Below are 21,779 nucleotides of genomic sequence, written 5' to 3' on the forward strand. Positions count from 1 at the left end.
TTAAAAGTTTATCCAGATGGGGGAAATAAGCACAGGAAGAAGTACTAGCCAGAAGACAATAAATGACATTTTAAAAGTGCTGTTAACCATGATTTTTGTGTCTAATAAAAATATCTTTCAAAAATGGAGGCAAAATAAACTTTCAAATAAATAAAAACTAAGATTATTTATTACCACTGGATTTATTCTATAATAAACATTTTTGAAAAATGTCATTTAGGTTCATGGAAAGGATTTACATCTGAGAATTGAGAATAAAGAGCTGAAATAATAGTAAATATGTGGGTAAATATAAGATTTTTATTTCTCATTTTTAAATGTATCTAAAAGATAACATTGTTTTTAGAGCAAAAATAATAGCAATGTATTTTGTGGTTTAAGATATATGTACATATTAAATGTAATACAATATTTAAAAGATGGGAGGGTATCAGTGGAATTATACAATTATAACGTTCTTAATCATACATGAAGTGGTATAATATTAATATATGATAAACTGTGATAAGTTGGGAGTGCATATTATAATCCCTAGAGCAAACACTAAAAGTAAAACACAAGAGGATAGCTAAGAAAACAATAGAGGAGATAAAAATGGATTGCTAAATTTCCTCAATGAGGCTTCCCCTTTCTTCTCTAGGGGAATAATAAATAACAAACAAGAACAGCAATGTAGACATCTTAAAGTGCTAGCCCTGGTTTTTGTATAAATTTGCTATTGTGTCTTTTTCATTTTTGAGGCAGGAAGTGGTTGGAGTTTATGGGCATTATGTTTGTTTTTTTCATCTAAAATTATTCTCTGTTGCTTTTCAAATGCATTTTTATAGAACTAATGTAACCATAATCCTGGAAACTATACTTAGTGATGAATGAACCAATCAGGTTGGGTATAAAGGGAAAGCTTTAGGACGAATTGGCAGAATTTACCATATAAATCTCTACTTCAAATCTTGATCATACATTCCAATATTCAATGGCCCATTTTGCTAAATATGACTTAAATTTTATTTTAAATGTTTGTTCAGTCAAATAACTACCATATTTCCATATTTCATTCCTTTGGATGATTAATGTGATCAGATATCTCAAACATTTTTTTGTCCAGTCGAAGGACTGGAACCATTGTTGTTTTGTTTTGGCATTTTTACTGTTGCATCACACACACAAAAATTGCATAAGCCACCCCTGGGTAATATTTACTTGGCTGTAATTCCCCAGAAGTGGAAATTGGCTACATTTACCGATTTGTGTACTGAATCACATTTTCATCACATGCTTTCTCTTTTTCTCTACCATTTTCTTCTTTGTAAATAAAGTTTATTTACCTTACTAGCACCAATGTACAGTGTCAGGTAATAGTCCTGAAATAATAAGAGCAGGAACAATGTGAAGACCATTCCGGGGAGAAGAAAGTGACCAAGAAACTTACCTCCAGGGAAAACTTGTATTGAACATGATTAAGCCTACCTCCTATTGTAATAATGGTTTGTTAATATTCTCAGTCCAAAGAAACAGCATCCAAAAAAGATTTCAGAGGTGATGGACTGGAGAAAAGGATGTCCATGAGATGCTGTCCAGTTCTGAAAAGAGAGCTTTTTGCAGAGTTATACAGCCAGGGCCATCCAAGAAAGATTAAGGAACAAGCAGCTAAAACCTTAGGGTTTTCCTAATTGCATAATCATCCGAGTCCTGTAGAGGTTGAATTACATAATTGCATAGTGAGACTTGACATTTCAAGACAGAGCATGCCATTCAAAAAGGGAAGAAGAGAGGGGGTTGGAGATAGAGTTCACAGGGAAACATCACTGCCTGGCCAAACACTGTATATATACCAGGGAAAGCAGGAAATTAAGCTCTTGCTGCTGAATACTAGCAGAGCTTTAATCACAGCTCCTGACTTCCTTTTTGCCAAGTGAACAGATCACCACAGCAGGATGTTTCTCTACTTAGTGAACTTCAGAAAGTTAACTGAACTTTGGGTTTCTAGGGAGTTCTGGCAGTTACAGAAAGAAATATATAGATTACATAGATATAATCTATATAGGTCTCCTTGCCACTGTTAAGCCTCCCAATTGTGTTGAATATAATTGATGAGGTACTTAACATTTTGTACACTTTAGAAAATAAACTCGTTTGTGTTCTCTCCTTCCTTTCCACATAATTTCTCTCTCTTTACCTTTTCTCTGTCTTGCAAATGGCCCTCTCTTCCGACCATATCACACTGCCAGTAAGTTGAAATAAGCCACAGTATGCGAATGTTTGAGATTTTAGGGTCAAATTTCTTCTTTTCAGGGTCTTTGATTTTTTTTAATGTTTTATTTTCACCTGTTTATTCCACGGGAACTTTTTAAAAAAAAAACACACACATTATATGAAATGTGTTTAAATTATTTGACTTTCTTCCAACAAATTACTGTGTATCTTAAGGGTATAGGTAAATTATTAGTTTCCAAAGAGAATTCAATTAAAAAACCCCCACTTTTCATTTTTAATTAATACTGAAATACAACTTCTCTCAATTTACTCTCACTCCCAGTAGAAGAACCTTGAACAAAAATGAGCATCTGTTATTGTTGAATAATACCTGTAAACCATATTTTTCTCATTGCTTCTTTTTTTATGAGATTTAGGTTTTTAGATTTTTTCATAACCATGTTTTATAACCAATAAATAATTAGTTGAGCAAAGACTATATTTTTTCTTAACAGGAGCTCATAATTATTGGTCTTTAAAGTAGGAATTATTGGAGTCAACTTTAAGTTGCTAATTTGAGAATCTCAACTGCTTTCAGCTAAATTTTCAGAGCCAGACACCCTCAAACACACGTACAGATACACCTAAAGCATCAATGGAATATCAGTTAAGATGCTTTTGCCTAACAGGCATATGAAAAGGTGCTCAACATTATTGATCATCAGAGGAATGCAAACCAAAACTAGAATGAGATATCATCTCACTCCAGTTAAAATGGCTTTTATCCAAAAGACAGGCAATCACAAATGCTAGCAAGGATGTGGAGTAAAGGGGACCCTCATACACTCTTGTCAGGAATGTAAATTAGTACAACCACTATGGAGAACAGTTTGGAGGTGTCTCAAAAATAAAAATACAACTACCACATGATTCGGCAATCCCATGGCTAGGCATATACCCAAAAGAAAATAAATGAATATATCAAAGAGATATCTTCATTCCCATGTTTACTACAGCACTATTCACAATAGCCAAGGCTTGGAAGCAACCCAGTGTCCATCAGTAAACAAATGGATAAAGAAAACATGCTACATATACACAATGGAATACTATTCAGCCATAGAAAGTGTGAGATCTTGTCATTGGCAACAACATGGATGGATGTGGAGTTATGTTAAGTGACATAATTCAGGCACAGACAGACAGATTTCACATGTTCTCACTTACTTATGGGAACCAAAAATTAAAATAATTGAACTCACGGAGATAGAGAGTAGAATTACGGTTACCAGAGGCTGGGAAGGGTAATGGGGTAGGGGTAGAGTGGGAGGGGAAATAGTTAATGAGTACAAAAAATAGTCAGAAAAAATGAATAAGATCTAGTATTTGGTAGCACAAAAGGGTGACTATAGTCAATCATAATTTAATTGTACATTACAATAACTAAAAGAGCATGCTTGGATTGTTTGTAGCATAAAGGATAAATGCTTGAGGTGATGGATACCTTATTTACCCTAGTGAAGTTATTACATATTATATTCCTGTATCAAAAGATTCCATACATCCCATAAATATATACCCACAAAAAAAATTAAAATAATGTTGTTGTTTTTTTTAAAAAAAGTTGCTTTTGCCTGGGAAAGAAAATCCCAACACAAACTGAGTTAAACAATAGAGGTGTTTATAGCAGAATATATGGAAGGAGCGAGTAAGTGCTGACTCTAGGCATAATTCCTCAGGCTTTAATCTCTGCTTCATTGTGATTTTCTTGACTTTGTTCCCCTCCTGGTAATGAAATCATGCTGAAGTCATCAGTTAGATGACTGCCTCAGTACTATTATCATATTCAGGCCTGACAATGTCCAGAAGGGGGAAAAAGTGAGCATTTCTTATTGCTTCCCTTTCTTAGTAGCAGTAAGCCTATTTTCACTTGTACTTGATTAAGCTTCTTGTCTCATTGGCAAGAGATACTTCACATGCCATTCCCACTACCTTCAATACCAGAAGGGATGGAATTATAAAATTTGGCCTAACATGTCAGGATTTATTATTGGTCAGGACCAATAATAAGATCAATGTCTCCTGAATCATATAGAGAAAGGATGAATATTTTAAGAAATTCAGGGTTCACCTAGAGTTGGGCAGAGGAAGAGAGTAAATTTTGGGTAGATAACAAACAATGTTCTACAAATAAGACACGAAAAATCAATCTGTGAATGTTATTCCATTCCGTTCCACACATCAGTAATGGTGATCCAAATGAGAGGCAATCTTAGGGGGTTTTTTTGGAGGGAAATATTGGGTTATAGAAGTTCTTTGCCTAACCCCATTATGAATTAAGCAAAACAGAAAATGCAGAGAGATGAGAGAAAGAGGAGAGTCATGTTGATATCATTTGAGTTCTGAATGCAACCAGGCCAAAAGTTAGCTTTAAATCTAGATTTTCAGATAAGTTAAACAACAAATAATCTTTTTTATTTGACTCTGTTTGAATCAGATTTCTGCCATTTGTAACCCGCTCTGACCCAATTATTTCTAACGGACACAAGGTTTAAAAACAAATTATATTGTCCTTTAGAATGGGTCCCAGTACCTTGACTTTAGAGCCAGTCTTAATGGGAATCGTATTATGGCAAAGTTCCAGTTTTTGCTCTAATATTGAGAGCCTTGTCATAATTTTCTAGAACTAAAATAGAAATAAGGCCTCTGTATTATTTTTGTATTTTTTTGTGGAGGACGTAAAAGGGAAAATTTACCACAAGTTTAGAAACAGGAGTTGAATTTTCAGACTCAAATGGGGAAAACTGATCCAAGACAAATAACTAACTAAAGGTGAGGCTTAGCAAGACTAACGCTTATATTTTATTGCTACATGAGCAAAAGACACAATTGAGAATGAACCAAAAGAAGACATACCTGGAAGGATTCTAAGCTTGAATTCTGATGCTGAACTTGTTATGAATTTGGATGGTGACAGTTTCGAATGTGGACATGCTATTAATAAAACCATTTAAAGCATTCTAGACTAATGGAGCAATGGAGAATTACCAATATAATCCAGATTTGGTTTAAGAAAAATCATTCCATAAAATTGTTTAAGATTAATTACAGTAGGAAGAGACTATAGGTAAGAAAGCCAGTTAGGAGATTTGCATTATGCCAGCAAGGCATGATAAAGGCTGACACACATATTTAATTGATATACCTGTGATCCTTTAGGGGTATGTGTGCGTGTGTTTGAAGGTGTATAGCTCAGAAAATTTAGCTGGAAGCAGTTGAGATTCTCAAGTTAGCAACTTAAAGTTGACTCCAATATTTTTTTAAAAGGGAGAAAATATCATAAGGGTAAAATTTATACAATTTATTGTAATGAGAAAAACATTCAAATTATTGCCAGATGATCTGGATTTTACTTCTGTTTCTAGTGATAACTATTGTGATCAAATGCATATGGACAAGAAATAGTTTGTAAATATCCATCAAGCTACCAAATTTTAAAATTCTTAAATTTTATTTTTCCCTGCTTATTATGGGCTTCCAAATGGAGAGTAATTGTTATACTTCCTGCACAGAAAATATAACAAGGAACTCAAATATTATGGCCCAACCGATTTCCATCTAGGGTGGAACAGCAGAGCAATTAGAGCCACTTAATGTTACAGTGGCAACTACAACTATTCAAAAACTTTCAGTGTACTAAGAATAAATGCTGCTAAAATAAAAATACTTGAAAGAAAAGTATGTCATTAAATGAGTTCATTGCTACTACTGTATTAACTTACATCTGTCAAATCTACAATCAGATGTATTCCACAGAAGCCAAATGTAATGTGACTCCATGGAGACTGTTATTTTTAAAAATATTTATTGTTTTTCTTTTTGTTCACATGTGAAATGAATAAGCTAGCAAAAGCAACCCTGCCAAAATTAATCGAATAAAAACATGAGGAATGTGCCTTTTCCTGGCTTCTCATAAACTAAAAGCTGCCATCTGATCTTTAGAAACTTAGATATAATCAAATATGTGATAGGAAGTAGAAAGAGTTTGCCAGCATAAACTGGAAAGCCTTAATGACAGTAAAGAAATAGAGCTTAATGAAAAGTTATGAAGAAAGCAGAAGCAAAAATATAAGCCAAGGGTCAAAGCACTCCATCAATATCTTGTGCATTAAATGGAGGATACTTGTGTAATCTGTTCCATTTAAATTAATTTATTAAAATATTACTATTGTCTTCATAATAGTCATGCTTATTCTAATGAAGTTTTTACTGCTCACACAAATAAAAATTCTTTTTAAAACTATTTCCAGTGCCTTCACCACATCCTTTTGAATGTCTTCAGAAAAGGACAATGATCTAAATATCTCATTCAAAGGGAAGGATGATCAGAATAGTCAAAAGGCAGAAGTCAAATATATACTATATATAACACATACAATATAAATATAAAGACATAGAGTGAAAGTAAAATGTTGGAAAAATTATACTATGCAGCCATAGCATAATAAAGCTGGTACAGTTAAATTAGTACACAGCAAAATAAATTTCCAGACAAAGAATATTACAGAAGACAAATGGGAACTTCACATAATGATAAAAGTAACATTTCACAAGAAAGACATGGCAATTCTCAATATATAAGCACCTAATAAATAGGTGTTAAAGCTCAAGAAGCAAAACTGATATAGCCAACAGGGAAAATAGACACATTTGTAGAATCAGAGATTAAACATCCATTTCTTGGTATTGATAAAACAAGCAGAAAAAAAGTGGTGAGGATGTTGCAGATGTAACATCACTATCGATCAACTGTACCTAATTGGCATTTATAGAGCATTAAAACTTCAACTATTGAATACACTTGATTTTCAAAAGAAAGACTTTATATAGCTACTTCACCAAGATGGACCACATGCCAGGTCATAAAAAAGTCTCAATAAATTTCAAAAGTAAATAACATTTTACAAAGTACATTTTCTGACCACAACACAATTAAATCAATACCAATAAGATACTAATCCAAAAATCCCCAAATATTTAAAAATTAACTAATTTATTTTAAAATAACCTGTGGATCTAGAAAACAATATCAAATTAGAAAACATGTTAAGTGAATGACAACAAAAAGCAAACAAATCAAAATATGGTGGGTAAAGTAAAGCAATACTTAGAGGAAAATATATAACTGGAAAGGTCTGTATTTGAAGAAAAGAAAGGTATAAAATCAGTGATCTAAGTTTTCGTCATATGAAGTTAGAAAAAGAACAAGCTACATCCAAAATAAGTAGAATTCAGGAAATAATAAAAGCTAAAAGCATGTATCCATGAAATAAAGAACAAACAGTAGATAAAATTAACAAAGCCAAATGTTGACTCTTGGAAAATATTTATAATACAGGTAAGCCCCTAGAAAAGTTATTTTACAAAAATCATGAATGACCAATATGGGGCATGAAAGGAAGGACCTCACTACAGACATGAAAGGTTAATAAGGGAGTTTTATAAACAACTCTATGCCAGTAAGTGCGACAAAGCAGATGAAATAAATATATTTCTTGAAAAACATAGTTTACTAAAACATTCAAGATTTCCCTCAATATTACCTCAGGGTAATATTCATCTTTAACGTAAGATTTGATTGTTACCCAAAGCACATCAGAGGAATCAGGATAATTAATATTAATACTAATATTTTATCTCAAAATAGTATGATGCTTATTAAATGAAAATACTGAATTTCTTATGAAACTCATTATGTAATTTCTAATTGAAACAAATTGTTTTGGTAATATTTAAACAATAGTATTATCAATGAAAAAAGCACAGAATTTCAATGTGATTAGTTTAAGGACCATGACTTTTTTAATATGTTATGTTTTAATCATAATTACTCATAATTTTGTAGTCATGAAATATGCACCATTTATTTCTATTTTTGCACTGAAAGTTCAGCTTTAACGTACAAACATTCTCTGCAGAATTCTTAAAATAAATTCTTTCCTTTTGTCCTGAAACCTCCTTAAACTTCTGCTCTTCCCTTGTATCATCAGGCTTGGGGAATTAGTGATAACACACTCATTCAGTGATACAAAAGATGCACATTCATGGATGGCAGATGTGTTTTTCTTTGCCATCCATCCCAATAATTTAAACAAATAGAATGCACTTATGGAGTGTGCAGTCTTCAGCTTGTCACAGTTTTTATCATTTGTCAATGGTAAATACAATCCGATATTCCACATCCTTTAGTTAACTGCCTGGTATGTGTAGGTATTTGAGTTTGAAATAAGTTTCTTTCCATACCACTGCACTGAAACTGATCACTCAAGTATCACTAATCAGCACCTATCAAAAAAAAATAGAATTTACTTAGTCTTTATACTCAAGCATGTCTCTACAACACTGAGCACTCTTTGACCATTCCCATCCTTTTGAAATAGTCTGGTGTGTGTGTGTGTGTACGCGCACGCGTGTGTGTGTGTGTGTACATGTGTGTTATCCAATAAAAATCTCTTGGTTTGCCTTTACTCTCGCTCTGTTGCCCAGGCTGGAGGGCAGTGGCGTGATCTTGGCTCACTGCAACCTCCACCTCCTGGGTTCAGGCGATCTTCATGTCTCAGCCTCCCAAGTAGGTGGTACTACAGGCACACACCACTATGATAAGCTAATTGTTGTGTTTTTAGTAGAGGCGGGGTTTCACCATGTTAGCCAGGATGGTCTTGAACTCCTGGCCTCAAGTGGTCTAGCCGCCTGGGCCTCCCAAAATGCTGGAATTACAGGCATGAACCACACCGTGCCCAGCCAGCCTTTTGTATTAGTTTTCTAGGGATGCTGTAGCAAAATACAAAAACTGGGTGGCTTGAAACAATAGAAATTTGTCTACGGTTCTGAAGGCTAGAGGTACAAAGGCAAGGTGTTGGCAGAGCCATGCTCTCTCTGATGGCTCCAGGGGCGAATTCTTCCTTGACCCTGTAGCTTCTGGTATTTGCTGGCAATCCTTAGAATTCTTTAGTTTGTAGATGTCTCATGTCCAGTCAAATGGTCATCTTTAAATTGTCTCCCTCTCTGTGTGTCTGTGTTTAAATTTCCCCTTTGATGAGGACATCAGTCATATTGGATCAAAACCTACCCTAATAACCTCATCTAAACCTAGTCTGATCTGCAAAAACCATATTTCCAAAAAAGGTCACACTGTTAGCTACTAGGGGTTAGGACTTTAACCTATCTTTTTATGGGACACAATTCAATCCATAATATCATCTGTCTTTTTGCTACTGCTTTTTTCTGTTCCTTTTTTCTTCTTCGAATCCACGTAGGAATTCTCAAAGGGTTGGTTCTTGGCCCTCTGTGCTGATTTTCTATACTCTTTGTCGTGACAATAGCATGATTTCAAATATTTCCTCTGTGCTAACACTTCCTAAATCTCCACTTCCAGACCGTCTTTTGAGCTTCAGTCTTACATTTCAAGTTGCTTGCTAGAACTTTCCACCTGGATACCCCAGGAATCACAAACCCAATATATCCTCAGTCTAAACACAAACTGTTCCTTCTGTTACTATTATAAATTTGAAATCATATAGGTAAAATAGGAAGAAACTCTCTTCCTTTATACTCCACATCTAGAGAGTTACTCAGGACTTCAGATTTAACTTTTGTATAACTAAGAATTGCTATGAGCTTGGGTTCAGGAGTAACATTATCTGGGTTAAAATCCTGGCTCAGACAATTGCTAAGCGTGATCTGGTGCCCTGTGATTCTTAAGTGCAAAATAGGGAAAATATTATATACCTAATAGGGTTGTTTTGTGGAAACAATAAAATAACACATTAGTGCCCCTACAGAAGTGCCTGCAATAGTAAATAATTATTGCGGCTATAATAATTGTTAATAGTAAGAAAAAGTACTATATGTCACTTTATCTCTATTCCCACTTCTTTCATTCTGTTTTCAGACTTCATCGTTATTCACCCGCAATTTATAGCTAACTTGTCTCCTTACCTCCAATCTCTCCACATTCTAATCCAGTCTGCAGACATCTTCCAGATTAATCACCCTGTACCATGGCTCTGTTCGTTCCCCAGGGCACAATCCTTCACTGACTCCCCATTGTCTACGAAATAAAAGGCCCTCTGGTCCCAAACCTGCTTTCCAACCTCATTTTCTACCACTCCCTTCATATATCAAATACTTCAACCAAACGGAGCTGTTTGACATTCTCCATACATGCTGCATATTTTGACACCTGTGTGCTCCTATTTATGTAGCTCCCCTGCCTCAAACCCAATCTTGCTCAAATCCCAACCAGCCTTGCCGGCCCAGTTGAAATGCTGTCTGCTAGAAAAAGCTTTCCTCAATCATCTCAGCTAGAAGTAATCTTGCTCTATTTTAAAACTGAGTAGTGTCTCTCATTTACACATTCACCTCCCAAATACTTACTGAATGCAAATTATGTATCAAAATTATATATCAAGTACTAAAGTAGGGACTGGGAAACAGTAGTAAAGACAATGGACATGGCTCTTGTCTTCATGGAGCTTGTGATCAGAGAGACATATATTAAATGAGTTAATTTAGAAGTGAGAATATAATTTTAATCTGTGATATCTACCCTGAAGTACCAATTTTATTATAGTAATTAACTTATGTATCTTATTTCTCTCTACATGACAGCTGAATATTAGAACTATCTTTTGATCCTTTCTACTTAACAAAATATTTTGTTTGTCAGAATTTCAATAGCTGTTATTATTGGTATGCTAATTTTTGGTGCATTTTAATGACTGTAAATAAAGGTACAAAAGGGAGTCAAGTTGGAATCCTCTAGTCAATAAGAGAATAATGTAGACAATTCTCCTATGAGTCATTTTTATTCTATAAAAAATATTTTCTAGAATAAAAGAGAAGAAAATTGCCAAATCAGCATATTGAAAAAGTTCTGGCAACATTTATGTAACTTGGCTCATATTATTTAAATTGTTTGTGTCATAATTTGCTCATTTGTAGAATGAGGGTCATCACATGGTTAAGTGGTCTTTCAAAAGTATGCCTAAATGAAGTGGTCCATCTAACAGTACTATGAAATCTCTAAATCTTTAAATGTTATTTTTGAAATTTTTACATTGGTTTTAGAAATAAGTTGAGAAGAAGCCTCTGGAATGTATGTCATGAGCTAACTCGATAGTATAATGGAGTGATCAATCTAAATATTTTATTACAGATAAAGAAAGAAGGTGGAGGAATAGTCAGATCTCGAGATTACAAGTGGCAGCACCCAGCTCAAAGTAGTTTAAGTCTTTCAAAACAAGGGGTGGGGTGGGGCCAGCATTCAGTTTATCCCCTCTTCTCTGTTTTCTACTGGACACATAAGGAGATTTGGCTTTTCTTCTCTTTTTTCTCTTAGGGGTATGTGATTTCCAGGGAAATGCATTAACAATACTGGCATGGGCCTCATAATTGCACCTTTAACTGAGAGATGGGGCACCGTGATTATCCAGGCTGAGTTCCCATGCCTATCTCTGTGCTAACAACTCTGTCGAAATAAAATAATTGGATTGGTGAGGAACAGCTCTCCAAATAGAAGCAGAAGATCTATTCTAGAATGAGGGGTGGAAAACTGTACTGTCAAAGCCAATAGACATCTATAACATTGACTCATTTTCCATTTCATCTTCATACATCAAAACTTCAACCTAAGTAGACTATTTGACATTCTTCATACACACTGCATGTTTCAGCATCTGTGAACTTTTATTTGTGTTATTACCCTTCAAACATAGTTAAGTTCTGCCCTCAAGCATGGTTGAATTTCTTACCTAACAATTAATAAGGAGTGAGTGCCACTTTTAGTTAGAATGTAGAAGGTTTCAAGATATGATCAAACTTGCACTAACAATGATAATTATCCAGATGTGCTATTAAGTCATAGCATTTTAGAAGCCCATCTCAGAGCAGAGAATACAAAGAAGTGTAAATGAACTAAAATGCAAACAATAACAAATTATTCTTAAAAGGCAAAGATTCACAACTGAAAGAGATACCCCACGAAGAGAGCTGGCCTTCTTGAAGTGTGAGACGGTGATGATGAAAGCTCAGGCAAGGCATCAGAGCTAAGAGGAAGCCTCTTAAGACCACCAGGTTCTCACTGAATGTGAGGCAGTGGCTTCCAAAGACTGGGGATGGGCAAGCGAACTGAGAGACTTCCCACTGAGGTACTCTAGGTCTTCATCAAGGGTAATCCCAAGGTCTTCCTTGGCAGCAGGAACCAGGGTAAACAGTAGTCTTTCCAGGCACAGAATGCTGAGTGTGGGCCTGGAAGAAAAGGGTATTAACTTTCCAGTGAGCCTCAAAACATTTCAAACTAATAGTGGACTGAAATGTATTTATAGCTGCAACAAAGCCTACACCCATTTCCATTAAAGTTTAGATTGATTCAGCCCCCCACCCCCAACACTATGGCCTGACAGAGGAGACATGCCGTCTTGCCGTCTTCTAAGGGTAAATATTAATGAAGCTTTACTTCAATCTCTACTGCATATATATTATATATATATATATATATATATATATATATATATAGAGAGAGAGAGAGAGAGAGAGAGAGAGCACATAGCATATAAATCAAAAATTATGAGGCAAGTGAAGAAACAAGAAAATGTGACTGATGGTGAAAAGAGGAAACCGTCGATAGAAGCAGACCCAGAAGTGGCCCAGCTATTGGGCTTATCACACAACAATTTTACAGTAACTATGATAAATATATTGAAGGATCTAGTGATGATAAATATGTTAAAGGATTTAGTGGAAAAGATGAACAGTGTGTACCAGCAAATGGAAATTTCAGCAGAGAGACCAAAAATGTATTAAAGAATAAAATGGAAATGTTAGAAATGTGAAATGAAATGTGGAAAATGAAAAAATTTTTGATAGACTTACACAGCAGACTGGACTGAGAATAAAAACAGATTTAGTGAACTAGTAGACAGATTAATGTAAACTTCCAAACTGAAAGTATATGTAAACACCGTATTAGTTTGCTAGGTCTACTGTAACAAAATACCACAGATGTGGTGATTTGAAAATCAGAAATTAATTTATTCCAATTCTGGAAACTAGAAGCCTGAGAACAAGGTGGTTAGCAGGGTTGGCCTACTTTGAGGACTCTCTCCTTGGCTTGTAGACGGCTGTCTTCTCTCTGACTCTTCACATGGTCTTCCTCCTGTACTTGTCTACATCCAAATTTCCTCTTATAAGGACACCAATCATATCAGATAAGGGCCCTCCCCAGTGACCTAGTTTAAACTTAATTACCTCTTTAAAGACACCATCTCCAAATACGGTCACCTCAGAAGGTACTGGAAGTTAGGAGTTCAACATATAAATTTTTGTTGAACACAATTCAGCTTAGACACATGGGAAAAATATCAATAGTCTAATATGCATGTAATTGGAATCTTAGAAGTAGAGACAGACAGTGGTATATAAGAAATATTTAAGGAAATTATGGGAGAAAATTTTCCAAGATTCATGAAAGACATCTGTGTTAGGCCATTCTTGTATTGCTGTAAAGGAATACATGAGACTGGGTAATTTATAAAGAAAAGAGGTTTAATTGGCTCACGGTTCTGCAGACTGTACGAGCATGACACCAGCATCTGCTTGGCTTCTGGTGAGGGCCTCAGGAACCTTACAGTCATGGTAGGAGGCAAAGGGGGAGCAGGTGCATCACATGGGGTGAGGACAGGAGTGGAGGTCGGGTGGGGGTGTCACATACTGCTGAACAAACAGATCTCAATGAGAACTCACTCACTCTTGGGAGGACAGCACCACACAGATTGCACTAAACTGTTTATGAGAAATCTTCCCTCACAATCCAAACACCTCCCACCAGGTCTCACTTCCAACACTGTAGATTACATCTCAACATGAGATTTGGAGGGGTATCTAAATTACATCAACATCAACATCAACATCCGAGTTCAGAGAATCCCCAAGCTGGATAAGTCCACCCAGACATGTCACTGTCAAACGGCTAAAAACTAAAGACAAAGAAGTGATTTCCAAAGAAGCATCTATAAAGCAGAGGTGGGGGTGGGTGATGCGTTTCATCAGGGACAACACTTGGAAAAGTGACACATGATGCCGACCTTCTTATCAGAAACAATGAAGACAGTGAATCAGTATCATTAAAAAGCTGAATGGGGAGGGGGGAACTGTCAATTTAGAATCCCCAATTCAGCAAAATTATCCTTCAGAAATGAAGCAGGAATAAAACGTTTCAGACAAAAGATGGGAGAATTTGTCTCAAGAAAGCTGCACCACAAGAATTGTTAAAATAAATTCTTCAGGCCGAAATGAATTAACGGCAAATGGGACCCAGGTCTGCAGAAGTCAATGAAGAACACCAGGAATAGTGAAGATGGGGTAGGCTTAAGAGATTTCTAATTATTTAATGTAACAATGATAATGTGTTGTGGGTTTATACTACATGTAGAAATAAGCAAACAAAAAGCAAAGTCATCTAACATCAAGGTTAATGCTTTCAATACTAACCATCCTAGTTTCTATAAGGAAGATTTTATTGTAAACTACTGAGCATATATCTAGAGAAGATTTAGCCTTCAAAATTAGTCAAAAAGAAAAAAGGCATTCATCGACCATGTCTTTATTTCCTTCTTTTAAAATGTCTCTCCCATTTTCTACTCTCTTATTTTTCTTAAGCTGCACATATTGTATATAATATATAACCATATAGAATATTAGATTGCATATGTAATATAATAGACACATATAGTCTATGAGCAGATATCAACCAATACTTTAGAAAATTCCCTGTTCAATAAGAATTTAGGGAGAAAAAAGTATGAAAGCAACATCAACACCAGCTTGAGAGCAGAATTTGTGCACACACAATTTGCTATGGAAGTCTTCTGTGGAAGCACTAAATTTCTTTGAATCAATTATCTCTCCCTGAGCCATGGGCTTTGCCTTGCCTTGGTGCAACAGAGGCCTCATCATCCTTCCTCTTACACTGGGCACTGATTATCAAACATCCTCTGTTGTGCTGCTTGAACTACCATCCAATTCCCCTGCAGTCAATCTCAAGTAAAACTGAAAGGCTATGTTAAAAGAGCACCAACCTTCAAAGTTGCATGTGGAAAATATTCATTTTCGCACTCTGTGATTGAAGTCAGAGATGTCTTACTGTCAGAATTCTCAAATGTCACTCCTTCTATGAGAGCATAGAGGCCATAGGAAGTGTGTGAAACTTTCCTTTTAAAAGAACTCCAAGTGAATACTTAGTGGCAACAGAAGGTGCCAGGTTGAAAAATGAAAGCAACAGGGCCTTGTGAAAAAACTGAGCTCTAGGATCTCAGCTGGGATGGTGCTAATAATGATGACATCACTGCATAATGTGGCATTAATTTCCTGATTCCCATTTCTAAATTGGAGGGTAAAATGATGACCTGGCTCAGGGGTCAAGTGTTGAAAGACTTGATCAGTTAAGCGCTATGAATTAGAGATGATAACTGGCGCTGGTGCCCAGGAGATTTGGCTTCCTGTCTCAGTTCTTTCATAATCTGTCTCTATGCCAGTAGGTATTCTACATCTCTGAGGTGCCATTCCCTTATTGCAAAATGAGGGGTTGGAATTGATGAGGTCTGAGATTCTTTTCAAGGCTGAAATTTTATGAGTGAATGTTCTGAAGTCTCTATGAGTAGAGTTAGTTTTCCATAGGAAGTTTTAAACAAAGCAAAAAAAAAATGACTTACGGTCAAAATTAACCTTGAAAATTCCAGGCTGTACACTAATTTACCATCTATTATTTTTATTTAATTTCAACACAGCCAGGTTTTTCTTCAGTGTCTATGGGAATACAAGTTAGGACAGTTGACTTGTGTTTAAGGACTTTATTGTGTGGAAAATGCTAATCTTTATGTATTTAGTCCCAAGATATCATTTTTTTGTGTCTAATTTGTGACTTTGGAGTATAACAGTAATTATTCAGGGGTTTACTTCATTTAAGTTAATATGCAATGCACTAATAACAAATTTGTAAGCCTAGTTCTACCTTAAGCTTTTCAATTCAGCATATAAAAGTTATTATTCTATTTATAAGTATAACAAATTTTAGTAATTATCTTTAAGGAAGCGTTTGATTACTGTTTGATCCCACTTACAAATTTAGTTAATTAAACAACTTCAAACTTTTAAATTGCATGTATAAATTTAATATACTGTATTTGATTTCCTTTTAATTACTTCAATTGTTGGATGAAACTTAACAAGAAATTAAGTAATGCTTATATGTTTTATAAATACAACTTCGTATAAATCAAATAAAAATTTGATTGTTTTTAAGTTCTGCTCTACGTTCCAATACTTCATGGTAAGATATCAATTTTAAACACACATCCAAATTTATTTCTCAATTTTACATTTTAAAGTGGAACTGAAAGACTCTCTAGTTATTAGGTCAAAATCTTGCATGTGTTATAAATATAAGAAAAAACACTGTTATCTTAATACAGAACTATTCCTATTATAGTTTTTTCTTTTAACTATTTTCTATATTTTATTGTAAATGAATATGCCTGAGGTTAAAAATCATACTCATTAAGAAGTTAATTATGTTACCTCATGCAATTTAGGGGTATGTCTCCTCAGCCAGTTGAAATCAAATGAGTAAAAATATACTAGGCAATAGAGATATGTTGATGTGCAGACAAACATCCAGATGAGCAAATATCCGTGTATTTGTGCAGATATCTAGATATGCATTCCATCCTTGATCCCAATTGCTGAGCTGAGCCCCTTCCCACAGTCATCTGTCTTCAACTCTACAACTTAGAAGAAAAGCTACTCACTGACTCCACTTCCTTCAGTTTGAGACAATACTACCTAATTAATCTAATCACCTCAAAAATCAGCTATTCTACCCAGGCTACTACATTATTTGATTAAATTTGCACCCTTATGACTCTTAAGATGTTTAAATATTTTTCTCTATAGTTCCAAAAATACCTCTGGAATGATGGAATCTTGGAATTTTTTTTTTTTTTTGACACGGAGTCTCGCTCTGTCGCCCAGGCTGGAGTGCAGTGGTGCAATCTCGGCTCACTGCAAGCTCTGCCTCCCAGGTTCACGCCATTCTCCTGCCTCAGCCTCCCGAGTAGCTGGGACTACTATGTTTGTTTGTTTGTTTGTTTGTTTGTTTTTTAATGATGTAAGAGCAATTCAAATAGAAGTTTAGAGTCACTAGCCAGGAGCCAGAAATTCTTATACTGGTGTTTTGCAACTTTCTAACTATATGACACTGTGCAATTTGCTTGGCCTCTCTGGGCATTACATAGTCATAGCAGACTTGAGGAAACTGAGAAGAAGGTGTCGTTATGATCTGAGCTCAGTATCTTCTCCCAGTGTCTAAACTCCAAGCTGATTGTAAGCAAGTGAATTAGGAAGATATCTATCTCAGAGAGGAAATAAAAGCAGAGGATTGAATTGAAAAGGTATGGAAAGTTTAGGAAGAGTAAAAGAAGTTTAATGAGAGGGAACAGCAGAGGGAGGTTGTGAGGAAGTTGATGTGACTCCGGGGCCAAAGATGACACCTCCCTCCAGGACTCAAGAGGACCAGAGGAGGACTCCGTAGTCATCTAGTATGTCTATTCCAACATGAACCCAAGAACTGGGGAAACAATGCCAGGGCGGTCTGTGTCCCCACTAGGTTCACTGCAAGATGGAGACAGGCCAAGACTCCATTAATCTTCTAGCCTCCCCTCTGATTGGTGACCACAGCATTTAGGGTCCTCACAGATTAACATCAACTCAGCACCCACATCTAGTAATTCCCTAAAGATCTGAGTTCCCCCTTCCCCAGTACACAGTTATCTGGTCAAGTAGACATAGGCTTCTTTACAGAAGGTCTATGTGAATATTTTCAGGGTATACTATGGCTGAGTCACTTTATACAAAAACCTAGGCTCTCTTTATCCTTAGAGATTCCCAGTTCGGCTAATTGGTTCAGATCTAGGAATTAGGGAAGAGGCCATTATTCTCCATTATAATTATTCCAGTAAGGTCCCTGTCTTCCAGACCTAGATTTTTGGCATACGTCCCTCAGTGTCTGTGGGGCATTGGTTCCAGGATTCCCCACAGATACCAAAATCCTCAGATACTCAAGCCCGTTATCCAAAATGGTGTAGTATTTGCATATAGCCTTTGCACATCCTCCCACATATGTTAAACCATCTCTAGATTACTTATGAGACTTAATATTATGTAAATGATATATAAATAGTTGTTATACTGTATTCTTAAAATTTGTATTATATTTTATTGTTTTTTTCAAGTATTTTTGATCTGCAGCTGGTTGGAATCTATGGATATAGAACTTATAATTATAGAGAGCCACCTGTACAGACATCAGTACAATCGTTGGTTAACTGACTAATTCAGGGTTAGCAAATGCTTTTCTGTAGTAGGCTAGACAGTAATTATCTTAGACATTTCAGACTATATGATCTCAGTTGCAAGTGTAGTGTTAAAACAGTCATAGAAAACACACATATGAAAGGGCAAGACAGTATTCCAATAAAACTTGATTTATAAAATAGCATGTTGGATTTGGTCCTTGGGCCATAGATTTCCAACCTCTTGCCTAATTTTATCTGAAGGACCTTTGATCAATTAGCCAATACCAAGAATGCCCTCCTGACAAAACATTCTAACAAACACTCCAGGCCTGATGCCCATTATTGTAACTGCATCCTCCTTGTCATTGAACCTCTGCCTCTTCCTTCTTACCACGGAAATCAGGCAGCCCCTTTCAATGATGTCCTTTTCCATAATAGTCTCCTGCACAGGAGAGCCACCATGAAGCTACTCAAGGATCCTAGTTTTCCTGTCATTCAGGCTTTCTCAGTGCCATGGGGAATGAAGAATTGTCTAGACAGTACCAGGGAACATGGAAGCGAGTGAGTAGCACATGATAAATATACTGCAGTATTCTTATCTTCTACATCCTTGGATTTCTTTTTAAAAATTATTCCAGGGAAGTTCTGTCATCACAAACTCATTAAATACCTATCACTATTGAGTCAATGTTTTAATCAACCAAAGAAGCTGTGAGAGCCACTTCTGATCCATTATTTTGTACCCTTTGGCATAAAAGATTATGTAACAGAGCCAGGCGCATTGGCTTGCATCTGTAATCCCAGGTCCTTGGGAGGCTGAGGCCAGAGAATTGCTTGAGCTTTGGAGTTCGAGACCAGCCTGGGTAACATAATAAGAACCCTCAATCCCTAAAAACAAAACCAAACAAATTATATAATTAGTTCCAGATTTCTTTGTTTATAACAACCTTGCCATCCTTTCCTACATATGATATCCAGGGTTTTGCTAATATAAATTATGTGAGTCTTCGGTATAATTCCTTCACTATGTAGGCTATCTTCTTCTAGGTCAAACTTTGCTTTTACGTTCCTGGACCTACGGGGATCTAACTCTGGCTTTGGGCAGGAAGGCAATGAGATGGAATGAGCATATCTCTTGAAAATAATTGACATCTTCTTGCAAAGTAACTGCTTCAGTTGAGCTCGTTATAGTTTCTCAAAGCAAAGGAAGACTAGTTTCCTCTTTCTTTAGAAACAAGGGCTAGTTCCTTTGGAAAAGAAGGCTCAGAGGGATTAGGATTTTCAAAGCTTTTAGATTAATCTGTACCCACTCGCAAACCTTCATTCCAATTTTCAGATTTCTAGTCCATATTAACCAACGCCCTGGTGCTTACATAAGAGACATGCTGAAGCTATGAAGGCAACTGATGTTGCAACAACTCATGGGATCAAATCTGAGGTCTGACTTTCAGTGGCACAGTTCTATAACCTCATGAGATACTCTATCGGGGCCATCACAGAACCTCTCCATCCATATTTTATGGTGAGAATGTAAAGCCCAGAGACTGTCCCTTTCTGTCAGTAAGTTCTCTGTTGTAGTCAGAAGCTACTTATCACCCCTCAGTCCTTGTAAACGTGTTCACCATGAAACAGTCACTTGGCAACCTCAAGCTTAGACATTAATAGGTACATCATCTCAGGCAATGTCAGGGAATAATTTTAGTTACTCTCTTGCCACTGCATGACATGTACTAGTTTTCCATTTTCTGTTGACAGTGGGATTACAACTGTATTTAGGCCCGAGCAGATTACATAACCAATTCCAGATGTATTTGTTTCCGGGGACACTCACTGATAATGCTGAATCAGTGAGTTTCCAACAAGGAAAACAGAAGCCTTTCAAGATATTTCAAGAAGAGGTTTAACACAAGGAACTGTACATGAGGAACTGCAGAAGCAACAGAGAGAAGAAAAGGGGCTGCAGGAACAAAGGGACAGATTGGTAATACATGAAGTTCAAGGAGCTGCCCCATGACTGGCTGGAGCCTAGCAGCCTGCTGCTGACATGCTGGAGCAGCTGCTGCTAGAGCTATACCTTTGCTGCTAAGGGAGCCTGCACTCCGTGACGTTGCTGAACTTGCCACCTATGTTGCTGCCTATGGTCACAATCCTCTGCTTTCTGCTCCTGCTGTTGCTTCCAGAGGTACTAAAACAAGAAGTAAAAAGGCCTCTCTTTTGCTTTGGTTTTTTAATCTCCAAGTGATACCTCCCATTGGCAGACCCTAACAGGAAACCAGTAGGTAGGGAGCTGGAAAAGAGTTTTCAGGCTTCTAGCCCCAAAGATAAAAAGGATACTACCAAAGGGTAGGTGAGAAGCCAAGAGCAGACAATATCTAGGATTAAAAGTAGTCTTCAGAAGTTGTATGGACTATAGCCAGCTGCCTAAGATGCTACAACAGCCTGTACTGTTTTATATGAATAATTATTGCTGGATTCTGTTGTCCCAACATTTTTGCTTTCCACATGATATTACCAGTGATTTTTGTTTTATATATGGAAACTAAACCTTTGGCATTTCTTTTTTGTGGTAACTGAAGCAATGAACTCATTATACATACTCTAGTTGGCTTTGTGGAATTCATTTTCCTGTTGTAACCAATCACTACAAATCTTCACATGGCAGACTTCTTCACCATTTCAATCCCCTGAGTCATTTATTATAGCTGCAAATGAATAAATTGCTTGGGGCCCAATTCTGCTGGTGATATGTGAAAGAGTTAGACTACTGAATGTAAATCCCTTGCATACTGACTTAAAAAAAATGGATCCTGTTTGTCTTTAGCACTTTGCACTGTTAATCAAAGCTAATTAAAATGCAGTAGATTTTTAAAAAACATAGCACCCAATTGGTCTTTTGTAATGGAGAAAATGTAGCTGTCTATACAGGAATTAAGTGTGTGTGGTCCAAAAATATAATCTTACACTGTTCAGATATTCTCACTTTAGCCTGAATTTATTAGCTGCCTAATATATACAAATAAATTTTCTATTTTCTAGAGGATTTTAAGAATTGCAGAGCATATTTTCTGACCCCGGAAGCTTATAATTAATTTGGGAAGGCAAAAATGTACCAAAAGTGGTCATAATAAAATATAAAAATAGCTAGTATTTCCTGACACCAGAGAGGAGGTCCTCAAA

Source organism: Homo sapiens, chromosome 5, assembly GCF_000001405.40.
Source record: "Homo sapiens chromosome 5, GRCh38.p14 Primary Assembly".
Taxonomy (NCBI): Eukaryota; Metazoa; Chordata; class Mammalia; order Primates; family Hominidae; genus Homo; species Homo sapiens.